At 42.6% G+C, this 16679-nt stretch overlaps 1 protein-coding gene across 1 annotated transcript in view, besides 2 other annotated features; it reads left to right on the plus strand.

Annotated features, from left to right (window-relative positions):
- The window catches only part of PPP1R14C (protein phosphatase 1 regulatory inhibitor subunit 14C), a 107349-nt gene that overhangs the window by 82358 nt on the left and 8312 nt on the right, over nt 1-16679 (plus strand). The gene's annotated exons all lie outside the window — the stretch shown is intronic.
- Nucleotides 45-1027: an enhancer, noted in NCBI's record as "NANOG hESC enhancer chr6:150546582-150547564 (GRCh37/hg19 assembly coordinates)". NCBI's record gives its function as "activates a minimal SCP1, AML or CMV promoter by ChIP-STARR-seq in primed H9 embryonic stem cells {active_cell/tissue: H9 hESC(primed)}" and the evidence as "EXISTENCE:reporter gene assay evidence [ECO:0000049][PMID:30033119]".
- Nucleotides 4392-4686: a silencer, noted in NCBI's record as "tiled region #12981; K562 Repressive DNase matched - State 8:EnhW". NCBI's record gives its function as "represses a minimal TATA promoter and a strong SV40 promoter by Sharpr-MPRA in K562 cells {active_cell/tissue: K562}" and the evidence as "EXISTENCE:reporter gene assay evidence [ECO:0000049][PMID:27701403]".

A 16679-nucleotide genomic window follows, 5' to 3' on the forward strand; every position in this document is an offset into this window, starting at 1 on the left:
AGTTCAAGTTTTTCTACTCATCCTTTGGTTCCCACAAAGGTTGTTCCTTGTGAGTTTCTCTTCCAGGCAGTTGTGATTTTCTGTATTCACCTGTGAGTCCCTCTACTTCGGGGGCATTTGTTTGCTCAGTGACCTCACTTCCCTTGTGGATCTAAAAAGAGTTGTGGATTTTTGAGTTTGTTCAGCTTTTTACTTTTGTTAGGATGGGATGGCAATTTCCAAACTTCTTACATACCTGACTGGAAACAGGAAGTCTCATTTAATCTTCACAACAAAGCTAATAGATTGACACCATTGTTGTCAGTTAAGGAATTTGAGGCATAGAAGTGTTCTGTAATTTGCCTAAATTCACACAGTTAATGAACGGAGAAGTCAGGTTATGTATTAAAGCACATGACATAAAGCTTCACACATATTAGGCCCTTAGTATGCTAGTTGAATCTTATTCTGTATAAAGTAATGCTTGCCTATCACATGTTAAATATGCAAGAAGTCCAAGTTTGCCAATAATGATATTCTTGGATTATTACATTTAAAGAGTTGACTTTAAAGAATCTTCTAATTTCCCAGAAGTGATATTGTTTTTGGTGTGTCACCTTCTGTCATATACTTTGGGTCTACGGCTTCATCCTATATGGGCCACTGGCCAATAGGGAAAGGACTTGTGTGCCCCCATTTTGATTCATATTCATTCCCCCCCCAAATCCATAGCTGACCTGACTGATTCATATTCAGTCTGCGGACTCTTGTCATGTAAATCTTCCTGACTGCTGGGAAACACAGCAGTATAATTGTGAGCACCTCACTAATGTATGAGTGAGTGATTAGTAAGAATGGTGATTTCATTTTTTTCCTTAAGTAAATGCCATTTCTAATGTAGTGAATATTAAAATAGATCTGACTTACAGGTAGCAAAAGGATGTTTCCATATAATGCAAGAGGCAAAAGTAATTTTATTTTGGATATTACTTGTATTTGCATGATCAGTAGTGTTAGCCTAGTGGACATGGTAAAAATCAGAGATGGGGGTCTGGAAGCCTGCTAGCCAGACTTAGGAGGAGCTGCTTCTCCTTTTTCTCACTATCTTTGCACAGTTTCCAATTTTGGGATTACAAAATAGAACCTCCATTGTACTGGGAGGATGAACAGAAAATGCATTTAATGTGGGCTTGAGGGCATCTGCCTTACCGTCTGTTAGGGGAGTTGTCTAGTCAATGAGCTTTTTTAAAAAAATCTCTTTTTATAGCTGAAGATACCTATGCCATTGCTCTTTGATAAACATCAGGTTTTTCTTTCCATGCATTTATTTTTTTTTTGAACTAGAGGTTTTGATAGAACCTATCATTGTATCAAATTATACAATGATATCAAAGCCTATACATTGATAGGCATCCATTCATCCAGGATAACTAAGTCCGAGAGTAGGTGGCAAAAGGCATTTCTGGGTTCCAGTAATCTACCAGGTAATGGAAATGTCATGGACACACACTGGTACCAGAAAGCCATGTGTGATCTGGTTTGTGAGTAGAAATCGAGCAGTGTTTTCTAAAAGGCAGGCCTGCTCTGCTGTTCTTCTCATATTGGCAGTAAGAAGGCAGAGTTTCCTTCTACCATGATTTCATGGTAACTGACTTTCAGACTAGCTTTGGTGATGGCCATTGTCAATCATTTATTTAGCATTTAAACTGATCTTTTAAAATCATTGTTCAGTTTATGGATACATGGAAGTACATTCCTTCTGCATTGAGCTGTTTACAGTGTAGAGAGAATATAAGTGGTATTTACAATACAGGAAAACCATGTGATGACTGAAAGAGACACAGCTTGGTGTTTTACAATCTTTTCTTTATTCATTTGCTCAACAAATGTGTATCGAATATCTGTGTGCCTGTAACTAATCTAGGAACTGAGACCTGGCAGGGAACTTCTACATCCATTTTTAAAGCAACCTCTTGGAAGGCCACAGTAAACTATGGTGGAAATTTAAATGTTCAAAGAACATTTAGGAATGAAAGGACAGAAATGTCAGGCTGTGAGCTTATTCGATGGTTCTCTAAGTTAGAAACCAAATTGCTTGACAGAATGTGCTTTTTAGGGCATCTGCACTTGCTAGAGGAAGCAGTCACATTATTCATTTCAATGGGTCTGAGTGTGTGTCCATAGGCAGGGAACTCCTTTCTTATGTCAGACCCTTTTCATCTGGCTGTCATGGGGTTTCCTCGAAAAAGACGGCAATCTTGGGCTGGGATGAGGAACAGAGCTTGAATGCTAGATTGGTGAGTTGAAAAGACACCTTTAAAAAGTTGTCACGTTTAGAACAATGTTTCTGAATAGAGAAGGAATTGAGAAGGACAGACCAGAATCAGATGAAAACTACATTTTAGTGGCTGTAGCCACTGGCTACAAAAGCCTTATAATGTTTTAGTGTCATTGGGCAGGCAAGTATTAAAGGATTGGGGTTTATTAGCCAGAAACATGTGTAGCTTTACTTAATAGCCCAAAGGATTTTGGTCCCATTATTACAATTGCTCACATACTTTCATTAGGATTCTATGCACCAGACCTCATCTGCCCCAGGTAAAAGAGCCGTACGTGCTGGAGCTGGAATAGGACCCACATTTGAGTCCAAATCCTATGCTCTGTCAACTCTTCACTGCCTTTTCCTGAATTTTTATGAATTGAGCACAAGCTCTACTTTAGAATATTTATAAAGCTGATTAAGATTTATAAATTGAGGAAAATCAACCCAGAAATGTTAGGTAAGCTTGCTGAAGACATGCAGTCATGAAGCAAAACTCTGCATTTATTTCCTGGACTTCATTCAGCACTCTTTGTAAAGTTAGGGAACTGTCCAAAAGACTGCTGTCACTTCTGGCACCAATCACAAGTTCACACGTCCTCAAAACCAACTTCAGCTTTGATAATTTGCAAGAAGAATTCAAATATTTTATACTCATGGTTCTGGTTTATTACAGGGAAAGGCTATAGTCAAGGGAAGAGACACAGGGGACAGAGTCCAGGAAAGTGGCAAATGTGAAGCTTCCACTTGTCTCCTCCCTGTGGAATGGACAGCATTCTCTTAGCAGTGATGTGTGACAATATGCAGGAAGTATTGGCAATCTGAGAAGCTAACCTGAGCCTGGGAGTCCAGAGTTTTTACTGGGGCTTAATCACATAGACATAGTTGACTACCCATGTGGCTGACCTTGTCTCCAGCTGATACCACATGACTCAAAGCGTCTACTCTAAATCACATCGTTAGACTATCTATCTTGGCACCGTACCCCAAGTATACGAAGATGCTTTTTTTTCAGGCAGATATTCTAAGGGCTTAGAGCTCACCTCTCAGGAGGTGAGGGCAGGTTAAATTTTTCACTATACACTCTTAGAAGCAGGATGACCATGAGATGGTGATGATAACAATAATAATAATAGTGATCAGAAGAAATTAGATGGCAGTGTAGGAAAAGCCACGTGGGCCTTGCTTTTGGGTGCCTTCTTTCTCTTGATAATTAATAATTGTTATTTTTATAAGAGACACGATAGAGGAGGCACAAGCTTTAAAGGGCAGTGGACCCGATTAGCATTTTCAAATGATTGACTGTGATTTTATGGCCTTTTCTTATTCATTAAACTGAGAATGGCCAACCCTGTATTAGAAACAGCTCTACACTCTCTTCCTATGCTTAGACTTATCTAGACAAAAGAAAGAATATAAAATAAAGACAATGTGACACATGACTTTAATTTCTATGTCTATAACAGAGATAGTTATAATCAAAAGTCCCCAAAAGCCCGGAAATGGGTTTCTTTTATTTAGGCAAAATTCAGTTATTTGTAGCAAATAATACACTCCCTCATTGACAATGAATGAGAATCTTGGTGAAGTTATTTATACTTTAGTTCCTCAGTGATTTTAAAGTCGGAGATTATAATTTTGCCAAATTTACTCTATTGATTATTTACTGTGACTGGATGATATATGTGAATTTTATTTTACATTGCCCAAATTGAAAATGTAAAGATTCTGAGACACCAGTTAGTAAGTGAGGGGAGAATTAAATGCTGTAAGATTGAATCTAGGGGAGGGTTAATGAACTGTTCTGCTGCATACAAATAGAGGTTGGGATTTGGGTAAAAAAATAAATTAGCCCAAGAACAATGGACTGAATCTATAAAATAGATTAATGGGACTTCGCTCACAGTGGAACAAATTACTATTTAAAGGCAGATAGTCTAGAAAATAAGTGGACAAACATCGTGTCAGTGGTTTTAAGTTAAAGGAGGGGGAAAAAACAGGATGTAGTTAAGACCTTCAGGAATTTATGTTGACAGAAGTCATTTTAACAACAGCAGCCACAAACCCTTACCCATAACAGATCCATAAGCCTCCTTTCAGATAATGAAAAATAGGATCAGTTCTGGTGCGCCATGCCAGCAAATGAACCTCTCGAAAGATAAAAACAACCCCTGCCCCCCAAAAAGAAGGGGGAAATTAAATGTGTCAGTGGTGAGTGATGGTGGGCGAGAGGGCTTGCTGTGGAGCTGATTCATGCCTGTAACTTCCAGGAGCAAATCCCCGTGTCACACTGAGTTGGGGAACACCCCAAAGCTGAGCTCATCAGTACTGATTCAACTGCCTGCCTGTTTGCCCTCATCCAGGAGTTTTCAGTGTGATTTTTAAATGCCTAGCTGGTTCTTTGGGTGAGGACATTTTGCCATTTGGAACAATTTGCAGGTGTTATCCTCACCTTTTCCAAGAGGCACACACCACCTGCCCATTTTCCTCACTCATCTAAACTTTGGGCATCTGGAAATTCTTCCCTTCCCACCACCCGCTTCACACTTTGCCTGCTTCCCACCCATCTGCTAATGTCAGGCTTTTTGGAAGAAGTGTCGGGTAGCTGCTTCACAGGAAACTCACCATGGAGTTGACTCAATTTGCTGTAAGTTGGCAGCCAGCCCCCAGGCCCAGGGCAGATGGCTCCTGTGAATGTGCACCTTGAAGGAAGTAACTGATCAGGGGCACAAAGAGGAGGCAACACGTGGGGAGTTGCATGGCCCATGTGGATCCCAGCCTTTGGAATCCTCATCTGCTGTTTCTCTCCCGTCCCCCCACCCTCTGCGTAGGGAATGGATGGGTCTTTTTTTGTTGTTGTTGTTGTTTGTTTGTCTGTTTTTGGAAAAGCTGGGTGAGCATCCGCAGTTCTTCTGGGCACCCTTTATTAGAGCTTGCGTAATGTATACAATCACTGCCATTGGTGAGACTGTTTCCTGAGCAGGGATTTTAAGCATTTCTTCTTTTGTCAGGAAATATTTCCAATCCAAGGGCCACTGCATAATATCCATTTATCTCGTTTAGCTTTTTAAATGGCTCAAAATGCTTAAAAGAAGGACATAAGTATAGGTAATGCACAGAACAGGGATTTGCAGTGATACTGTAGTTTCCCCTTTTCCTACTTGCCAACGGGCCCATCTTTTTAAAGCAGCACATTATCATCAATGAGAGGAACAGATGAATTACTTTGAATGACTAGGGAAGGCTACCAGATAGTTGGCTGTGGTGATAATTACAAAATGTGTGTCCATCTGCTGCTGCTGGTACTGGCTAGAGCAGGTGGGGCGCTGAGGGTGGAATATGAAAGTCATGGGCCCCAAGACGGACTAGTGCAGGGCGCAGAGCTCAGAGTAGAGGGTGGCCACTGTGATACCACGCCCCTGTGACAGAGCCATGTGGTAGAAACTCCAGGGGGAGAGAAAGGACCTTGTGTTTTCATGGCCGCTGCCGCATCCCCTCCGAAACGTGTTTGGACTTCTTTCTTTCTTAGAAGTCTCTCAGCAGCATGTTGTATAAAGTCAGTTTTCCAAGCTCCCTGGAAATGTTGCTTGTCTTTCTATTGCCTCTTCGATGTCTCCTCTGTATTAGTATGTGTGAGTATAAAGGAACATCCAAGGCCCACCCTTCCCCTAATGCTCTGTGTCTTCCGTCACACCCCAAGTCTGGCTAGCTTCCAGTGCTCGAAGGGGCATGTCTGGAGCCTTCATAGTTCCTGGGCCGGTTGACACTTTGTCTAGTTTTTTCCTCACTCAGTTGACATTTAAAGATTTCAGTGTCTCCTCTCTCTTTTTCTTCACTTTTATGCCAGAGTTACAGGAATTAATCAGTTCATTTGTACAATCCTTTACTCTGCAAAACTTTGAGCAGCTCCTCTTATTTCTTATGCACTCACTATGCTAGGAAGACAAAGATGAGTAAGACTTTTGGAATCATGTGGGGGTGACAAGTATGCACATGGATTATTTTGTATGCATTGTAACTGTGTGAAGAATATTTTGCAAATTTTCTTTCTCAGCTTGTGTATTTTGCCCAACATTAGGTGTCGGACACTTATCCTTGTTAATACAGAAAGCTGTCGTTCATTCATTTTTATTACTGTATAGTATTTCTTTCTGTTCATACACTGTAATGTATTTATCCATTCTTCTGTTGATACTCAGGCTGTATTCAGTTTTTCATTATTATGAACAGTGGTGCAATAAAATAACTATTATTGGCCTGTTGCCTTCCTTGTGTACAAGACTTTCTCCAAGAATATATAAGAAATGGAGTTGCTTTTAAATGTTTGCACCAGCATGCATGCCCACCAACAGGATATAAGAATTCCCTATTGAACTCATGATTTCTACACCTGGTATTGCTAAGTGTTAAAAATTTTGCCAACTGATGCTATTTCATTGTTTCAACAAAATTTTTCCTGACTGCTAGTAAGGTTGAGACATTTTTTTTTTCCTACTTGCTTATTGGGTGTTCATGTTTCCTTCTCTGGGAATTTCCATTTTGAAATCTTTGCCCACTTTTCTTTTGAGTTGTTGGTGTTTTTCTTGTTGATTTTTAAGAGTTATTTATATATTCTAGATGACAATCCTTTGACCTTGATATAGGTTGCAAAGTTATTTTCCCAAACTGTGGAGCTTATTTTCACTTGTGTTATCTTTTGTGTACAGAAGTTTTAAATTTTAATTGAAGCCAAATTTATTAATGACATCTTTGGCTTGTGCTTTTTAAAAAAAGGCTTGTTTAAGAAATCTTTCGTGACTGTAAGGTCTTAAATACAGTCTTCCTTGTATTTGGCTTTGAAAGCTTTCACTTTCACTTTTTACACCTAGGTATTCAAACCCTCTTGAATTTGTCTTTGTATATGGTGTAAGGTAGGGATCTAATTATGTTTTGGCCTATTGTCCCAGTCCCATTTATTGGGCAGTCAGTTCAGTGTACCCTCACTGCTCTGTAATCCACTTCTGTTGTATGTCAAGTTTCCTTATAAGTAGGGACTACTTCTGGCTATTTGTCTACCCCTGCATTTTGTCTCAATTACTAGGGCTTTAGAATAAGTTCTTAATAAAGGTCCAATAAGTCTACAATTCCTTATTCAAAGTGTCTTAACTATTCTTGAATATTTGTATTTGACTAGAATTGCATTAAATTTATAGGTTAATTTGGCCAGAGAAGAGATCTCGATGATGATTTGTTCAGGGCACACAAAAATGGACACTGTAACTTCCTGAAGGGCAGGGACAGGTTGTAGGAACAGATGGGTAACAGTGAGTTAGTTCACTTTTGGTCATTTGAGACTGATCTGCCCATGGGACATCTCATGGAGATCTTTGGTAGCCCCAGAAAATGTGGGTCTGGATCTCAGGGTGAAACCAGAGCTAAAGATGAGATCTGAGTCACTAGTGTGGCTGGTAAAAGAGAGTGCCCCAAGGGGCCTGGGAACAGAGCTTTGGAGGCCAGCATTTAATCAGCAGGTGGTGGGTGGGAGTGCAAAAAGGGGAGTGAGGAGGGGCGGTTAGAGACCCAGGTGGAGAAAGTACAGCAAATCTTCACTTCACATCATTGGTAGGTTCCTGGAAACTGAGATTTTAAATGAAACTACATATAAACAAAACCAATTTGACCATAGGCTAATTGATATACACGAGAGTTAAGTTCCTACGGCATATTTCTGGTCTCAAAAACATTTCCAAACTTCTAAATAAAGACCCCCAAACACTTCTAATATTAAACATTGAAATAAATGTGAGCTATATAGACATTTAAGAAAGACTAATAAAATCAAATTTGATAATTAGTCACCCCGTTTGTGGTGAATCTGTGAGTGATAGTGATCATAGTGGCAGTGGGTTAAATCCAGGAACAAATGTGTGCAAAGTGAAAATTGTAAGGAGCGCCCCCCTCCCATCACATGGTTCCAAAATAATCAGTAACCAGTGTGGGAGACTGGCCAGGCACTTTCGGACTGCATTGTTGATTGCCATGCCTTTGAGTGATCATCATATTCTTTATGATTTTTGTTTTATAATAATTTGTATTCATTTATTTTCCACCCCTCTTTTTCCAGTTCAGTGTGGCTAGTGGCTGGAGCTCATCCTGACAGCTCAGAGCACGCACCAGGCAGGAACCAGCCCTGCAAAGGAAGGCACCCCATTGCAGGGCATGCTCACACCTGCACCCACATTCACTCACACTGGAACGTTGTAGCTATGGCAGTTCACGTAACACACACAGCTTTGGGATGTGGGAGGAAGCCAGAGGACTGGTAAAACACTCAGGCAGACATGGGGAGAGTGTGCGAATTCCCACGCAGACAGTGGCTCTGTGGGGGAGTCTATTTTTTTTCCCCAACCTTATGTCAAAACAATGTGGAACAAACCAATGTTCTTGGAGGCCCTGCTGCAGAGGGAAGTAGGCAAGCTCCTTGAAAAACTCCCCCCAAAATTGTACTGCTATACACTCACTAGAATGACTAATATGAAAAATACTGACAACACCAAGTGTTGGGAAAGATGTGGAAGAACTGAAATTCTCGTACCCCACTGGTGGGAGTGTAAAATGGTACAATCACTTTAGAAAACTGTGGGGAGGGGGGCGGTTTAGAAAAAGTTGAGCATACACATTCCACAACTCAGCCATTGCATTACTGAATATGGGCTCAAAAGAAACAAACAACAAAAAAAAGACCATAAAATTACTTGTGCAATTTATTCGTAACAACTTTATTTGCAATGACGAGAACCCCAAACATTTATCAGCAGATGAATGGATAAACAAATAGCAGTCTAGCTATACAGTAGAGTACTACTCAGCAATATAAAGGATCAAGCCAGCTGGGCATGGTGGCTCATGCTGTAATCCCAGCACTTTGAGAGGCCAAGGCAGGCAGATCACTTTAGGTCGGGAGTTTGAGACCAACCTGACCAACATGGTGAAACCCTGTCTCTACTAAAAATACAAAAATTAGCTGGGCATGGTGGTGCACACCTGTAGTCCCAGCTACTCAGGAGGCTGAGGCAAGAGAATCGCTTGAACCTGGGAGGCAGAGGTTGCAGTGAGCTGAAATTGCGCCACTGAACTCCAACCTGGGCGACAAAGTGAGACTCTGTCTCAAAAAAAAAAAAAAAAAAAAAAAAAAAAGGAATCAAACTGCGGACGCACACAATAGTATCTAATATTGGTGAATCTCAGAAATATTGAGTGAAAGAAGCCAAGTAAAAAAGAATACATAAGAGGAATGATTTCATTTACATAAAATGCAAACTAATTTATAGTGACAGATTAACTGGGTTTGGGACCAGATGAGCTCTAAATGGGAATAAGACATCTTTGGTGGTGATGGAAATGTTTTTTCTTTGTTGTGTTTTAATAGGCAGGATCTCATTTTGTTGTCCATGCTGGAGTGCAGGAGCACGATCATAGCTCACTGCAGCCTCGAAATCCTTGGGCTCAAATGATCCTCCTGCCTCAGTCTCCTGAGTAGCTAGGACTATAGGTGCGCACCACCACACCCAGCCAATGTTTTAAATTTTTTGTAGAGATGGGATCTCGCTTTATTACCTGGGCTGGTCTCGAATTCCTGGCCTCAAGTGATCCTTCTGCCTCAGCCTCCCAAAATGCTGGGATTGCAGGTGTGAGGCACTACACCCAGCTGACGGAAATGTGCTGCATCTTGATAGTCATGGTGGTTTCCTGGGTGTAACCAATTGTCACCACTGATCAGTGATACACTTGAAATAGATGCAGTTTATTGTTCTTAACTTATTCCTCAATGAAGTTGATAACTTAAAGAGAAAAGGAAAAATAGGGGTCCTTAGCAGTGTCAAGGGACCTGGCTGGGGGCACTGGACGTGCCAATGAGGAGAGTCTTGATGATTCTGAGGGCTGCCTGGGTAGAATTTCAGTGGGCAGAAAAGTCAGCATTCCACGCACTCTATTCTTCCTTTCCTCCTTCCCCTCCTCTTTCTTCTTTTTTTCCCTGCTTTGCCTCCTTCTTAAATTCTTCTTTTCTAATTTATAAGACAGCTAGAATAGGAGGGAGATACTGAGGGCTCTGGAGATTTTTATTGTCCCCTTGGGAAGAGGCTACGGGCAGAACTGGAGGAAAAGGTTCGTCGTACTCAGGGGAGAATTTCCAGTCTAGCTGTGGACACTGACCTTTGCATGTCTTTCGTCCCTCCTCCCATACTGGAAAATGAAAGGATTGTTGTGTTTATCATAACACATTTTTGGTCATTTTAGTTTAGTTTGTAATTAGACTATAATTACCTAACCCGGTTGCTTAATAATAAAGACTTCTCACCCCAGGCAGCATGGTGCAAAGGGAATTGTGCCCTCCACCCCAGGGTGGTGATCATCCCAGGTCCCTTTGGCCTTTATATTAACCTACGGTTTGAATCTTGGTCTGACCATTGAGCTGCTGTGTGACCTCAGACAAACCGCTAAACCCTTGTGAGCCTGGTTTATAATACTTGTAATGATCAAATGAGACAGTATGTGAAAATAAACAGAGTGGCTGTCACATGAAAGGTGCCCAGTAAGTATGTGCTGTATCTGAGTCCCTGACAGATACTCAGTACCCGCGAGAGCACGGTACTGTGCCAAGCAAACTAGAAATGCACACACATAGGAAAGAATAGTCTCGGGTGAGTGAATGCATTAAAAAGGTCCATGCGGTGCATTCTCAGATCCCAAAATAGTGCCCAGGACTGAGATGAGAGGTAGGGGCCCAGGAGTTTACTGAAGACAGGACCTTTTCATTGTTTTCCGTGAGAGGGTAAAACTTCACCTGCAGTGTGACAGCGGCCACATCCAAAGACTCAGAGGAGCCAGCATGAGGAGGAGGAGCTGAAAGCGGAGGGAGGTGGTTGGTGCCACTGTGTGTGTGTGTGTGTGTGTGTGTGCGCGTGTGTGTGTTTAGCCAGGAGGGAGCTGTTGGGAAATGCCACCTAAGGAATGTTTTCAAGTGCAATTCTAGCACTTCATGATGTGAAGAATAAATACGATCTCCTTTGTAGTCCCTTGAGACGGGAGGTCGCACAGTCTGGGTGGCTCTGGAGTGGCTGATTTTGGTCCTGGGCTGTTGCTCAGGCTGTGGGGAGGAGCGGTCCCAGGCAGGAATCTGAGGAAGGAGCTACAGGGACTGTGGCCCTTGGCCAGGCAGGACGGAGAGCCTGCTGTGGATTTTCTCAGCGGTTAGAGTCTCTGTTGTCTAAGCTGGGAAAACTGACCATCACTGAGGGAGAAACACTGGTGGAACACTGACAGCTTCCTCAGAAGAAACACATGTGTGCTGCGCCCAGCCTGACATCCATGCCCCAGCCTGAGCACCCATGGTCTCACTTGGTGTCACACAACATACTTCTCCTCTGTCTTCAATGTCAAACCTTTCCCATGGCGAAAATGGGCGGGGGTGGGGCAGGGGGGATATAAGCTACATTTTTCTTAGTGTGGTCAGAGTAGCATATTCTTTTTTTTTGTTGTTTGAAACGGAGTGTTGCTCTGTTACCCAGGCTGGAGTGCAATGGTGTGATCTCAGCTCACTGCAACCTCCACCTCCTGGGTTCAAGTGATTCTCCTGCTTCAGCCTCCGGAGTAGCTGGGATTACAGGCATGTGCCACCATGCCCTGCTAATTTTGTGTTTTTAGTAGAGACAGGGTTTCACCATATTGGTCACGATGGTCTCGAACTCCCAACCTCAGGTGATCTGCTTGCCTCGGCCTCCCACAGTGCTGGGATTACAGGCGTGAGCCACCATGCCTGGCCCAGAGTAGCATATTCTTGATTTGAATTTGTAGACTGGAAAGTTCAGTGTAGTCTGATGATGATGATGATAACGATGATGACAGTATCAAGCACTTGTACAGCACTTACTACTCTTTAAGCACTTTTCCAAACATGTAACATACAGTAATTCATCTCATCATTTAATCCTTACAGCATCCTTGAGGTGAGGTCTTATTGTCATTGCTCCTATTTATAGGTGAGGAAAACTGAGGCATGGAGAAAATGATTCATTTCTAAGTGGTGCAGAAGGATTTGAACCCAAGTCATCTGACTCTAGAGTCCCTCTCGTAGGCATGTGGCTACACTGCTTCTTACCATGTGTGGTATGTATTGGGTGACTCCTTTCTGGCAGGAACAAGCCCATTAGGTTTTTTTTAGGCATCTGTTTCAAAGGGTTCTTCTATATTTGTAAGCCAAACCTTTTTCTTCTGTTTCTCTCCTTCTTGCATCATTATACGATCCATAGTCCTCAGGACACACGGCCCCAGCCTCATCACAAGCAGTACATGCGACAATTTGTCCACCTGCTGTTCTGTCCCTGCCCAGGGCTGAGCACAACAGCCCACAGAGAATGCTTCTGCTGAGAGGTAGATTCTAAGGTGTGGACCCAGGATCTCTTAGGTAGTATTTTGAGACATATTTGGACAAAAGCTACTGAGGCAGTGTAGAAAATAGATACTGCTTGTCTTGAAAGCTAGGTCAAGGCAAATGTTTGTTTGTCTTTTAAAAATTATGGCAGTTAGCTGAAATTGTATTTCAACTGCTAGGAAACTAGAATGGCCAGATCTTAGAAACTGGTGGAGAGGCAGTCAGTTAATAAAAATTTCCCCGGAAGGAGTGATGGGGGAAGGAGAGAGGAGAGGGTGGGAGGAAGGAAAGGGAGGGAGCTGGCCCTTCCAGAGCAGTCATTTCCGGATTCTGTGGCCTTTCAGTGAACACAGAGGTCTTTCGAGGCCTCTCAGAGCTCTGGCTGCCTTCTCCAGTCTTTGGCTGTGGGAGGCAGCATGGGAGGAGCCTGAACTGGCCTGACAGGGGCTGTCCTTTGCCCGCAGGGCACCCGTTCACCCCCAGCTGCAGCTCATGCCATATGTTGGCAGGGCCTGTGTTTCTGTGTCTTCTTTCCCAGCTGGCCTGGGAGCTCCTGGAAGGCAGGGCCTCTGCCACCTTCTGCTCTGCATCTCAGCACTTGAGTAGAGTCTGGCATAGACTCTACTTAGATTAGAGCATGGGCTCAGTACATACTTATCAAATTCAGTTGGCATCAAGAAGCCTGGATTCAAACATTTGCTTGGTGATCGTAGGCAGTGACTTGTAATGAACTAGAATATCAGTATTTTTGAACTGTAAAACCTCTACTACATTGGATTAAATACGGGACCATGTAAAGAGGCCACATAGAGGAGGCCTTCAATCAGGGTTTCCTTCTTTTTTTTTTGGCGGTCGAGCGTAAGCAGTGTCAGATCCCCATACAGAAACCACATCCACCAGGGAGTTCCTCATTGATCCTCACCCATCCTATTAGCCAGGGACTGAAACTTCAAAAAAGAATGGATTCCCTTTTTAGAATATTGCAAAAGATCATGTCTGTTGTGGTTAAAGAATTGCCTTAAATAACATATCATTTTCACTTGAATATCCTGCAACAGGGGAACACTCGTGTTCATCCTTTCTTTCAGCATGTCCAATATACGTACAAGTTACATGGGAGGAGGCTGTATAAAGGTAGTGGTGAAACATCAGCTTGGAGGCAGCCTGGTTTTTAATAAGATGTACACAGAACTTTTATGAAGACAGACATATTCTGGGACAGAAAGCAATTTTCAAATTTAAAAAGATTCAAGCCATACAAAGTGTGTTCTTTGATTACAGTGGAATTACATTAGAAATAAGTAACAGAAAGATTATCTGGAAAATCTCCAAATCCTTAGAAACTAAATGACACATTTCTAACCCACAGTCCAAAGAAGAAATTAAAAGGGAAATTAGAAGCTATTTTAAACTGAATGAAAATAAAAGCCCATCATATCAAAATGTGTGAGATGCCACTAAAGCAATGCTTAGTGCTGCTGGGGGTGGGGGAACATATAGCAGTAAATGTCTGCATCAGGAAAGGTCTCAAAGCAATGGCCTGAGCTTCCACCTTAGGAACCAGGAAAAGAAGAGCAAATTAAACCCAAAGCAAGGTGGAGAAAGGAAATAATAAAGATAAAAGCAGAAATCAGTGAAATAGAAAACAGAAAAACATGCTGGGCACAGTGTAATTACACGCCTGTAATCCCAGCACTTTGGGAGGCCAAGGCGGGTGGATCACTTGGGGTCAGGAGTTTAAGACCAGCCTGGCCAACATGGTGAAACCCCGTCTCTACAAAAAATATAAAAAATTAGCTGGGCGTGGTGGTGCATGCCTGTAATCCCAGCTACTCGGGAGGCTGAGGGAGGAGAATCACTTGAACCTGGGAGGTGAAGGTTGCAGTGAGCCGAGATTGTGCCACTGCACTCCAGCCTGGGTGACAGAGTGAGACTCCATCTCAAAAAAAGAAGATAAAAAAAAGAAAACCAATAAAGAAAATCAGTGAAACAAAAGCCGATTCTTTGAAAAGGTCAATACAATTGATAAACTTGTAGCCATAATGATAAATGGAAATAAGGAGAGAAGACACATTACTAACATTAGGAATGAGAGAGGTGACATCACTACAGATTCTATAGATATTATGCACAAGCTTGTGCCAGTAAATCCAACAACTTAGTTGAAATAGGCCTGATATTGTTACCAGTGGAGAATGTCCAGGTTCTTCGCGTTTTGAACAAAGAATTGGACAAAACACACAAAGCAATGAAAGAATGAAGCAATGAAAGCACAGATTTGCTGAAACGAAGGTACGCCCCACAGACTGGGAGTGGGCTGGAGCAAGTGGCTCAAGAGTGCTGGTTACAGAAACCTCTAGGGGTTTCCCATTGGTTACTTGGTTAGACCCTATGTAAATGAAGTAGTGGCCTGCAACCAGTCTGATTGGTTGCAGAAGGTGACCAATCAGAGGCTGAAGTGAATTTTCAAAGTTACACCCCTGTGCAGATGAAGGCTAGGCCTGTGACCAGTCTGATTGTTTGCGGGAGAGGACCTATCAGAAGTACTTTCCATTTTTCATCTGCAATGCAGAAAGTGAGGAGGGTTGGAAAGAGAACAGCCTCTGATCCTTTTGTTACCTGAGTGTGGAAAGTTAGGGTTTTCCTTTTGATTCACTTCTAGTCAGTCTGTGCAAACCAGCCTTAGTTTCCCTGCCTCCAGACCCTATTCTCCTGCCTTAACATTGTAATATAATAAGAAATACATATTTGCTCTCTGCTCCAGGTCCTTGGCACAGAACTCCTAAAACTCTTACAATTTCCTGAGCAATCAGTTGCTATGTACATCTTTTGTTATAATATTTCATCTTTGACCGCAGTTCTTGACCCAGATCTCCTAATCTGTTGGAATTTCCTGGGTGATAGGAGTGTCTTTTGTTCTAATGAGGCATGTCTTGGTGGGCACCTAAGTGGGTGCTGGTCACCAGAAAGACCAAGCCACAGTTAGAAACTTGGAACTTTCAGCCCTACCCCCATCCTCCAAAAAGAGGAAGGGGGCTGGACATAGGGTTAATAATTGATCATGCCTATATGATAAAGCCCACATAAAAATCCCTGAAGAACTGTGGGGTTCAGAGAGCTTCTGGGTTGCTGAGCATATGTATGTGCTGGGAGAGGGGCCCAGAGAGGGCACGAGAGCTCCATGCTCCTTCCCTCAAGCCCTGACCTGTGTGTCTCTTCATCTGCTGTTCATCTGTATCCTTTATCACATCCTTTATTAATGTAATAAGTAAATATAAGTGTTTCCCTGAGTTCTGGGAGTTGCTCTAGCAAATTATTGTACCCTCAGAGAGGGTCATGAGAACCTCAATTCATAGCTGGTCAGCCAGAAGTATAGGTTGACAACCTGGAACCTAGAATTGGCATCTGAAGCTGGAGTCAGGCTTGTGGGCCTGAGACTTTAACCCGTAGCATCTAACTCTAACGCCAGCTCCAGGTAAATAGTGTCAGAATCAGCCAGGCACAGTGGCTCACGCTTGTAATCTCAGCATTTTGGGAGGCCGAGGTGGGCGGATCACTTGAGGCCAGGAGTTCGAGACCAGCCTAGCCAACATGGCGAAACCCCATCTCTACTAAAAATACAAAAATTAGCTGGGCATGGTGGCACATGCTTGTAATCCCAGCTACTTAGGAAGCTGAGGCACAAGAATCGCTTGAACCCGGGAGGCGGAGGTTGCAATGAGCCGAGATCATGCCATTGCACTCCAGCCTGGGTGACAGAGTGAGACTCTTGTCTCAAAAGAAAAAAAAAGTGTCAGAATTGAATTGAATCGTAGGACACTCTGTTGATGTCTTCTGGAGAATTACTTGATATGTGGGGAAACCCCCCACCCACATTTTGGTGACATGAGGTATTCTGTGTTGAGTGTGGGAGTAGGAAAGAGAGTTTTGTTTTTGCTGTCTCATACAGGAAAATTTCTTAATAGGTAT

This window comes from Homo sapiens, chromosome 6 (genome assembly GCF_000001405.40).
Source record: "Homo sapiens chromosome 6, GRCh38.p14 Primary Assembly".
NCBI lineage: Eukaryota > Metazoa > Chordata > Mammalia > Primates > Hominidae > Homo > Homo sapiens.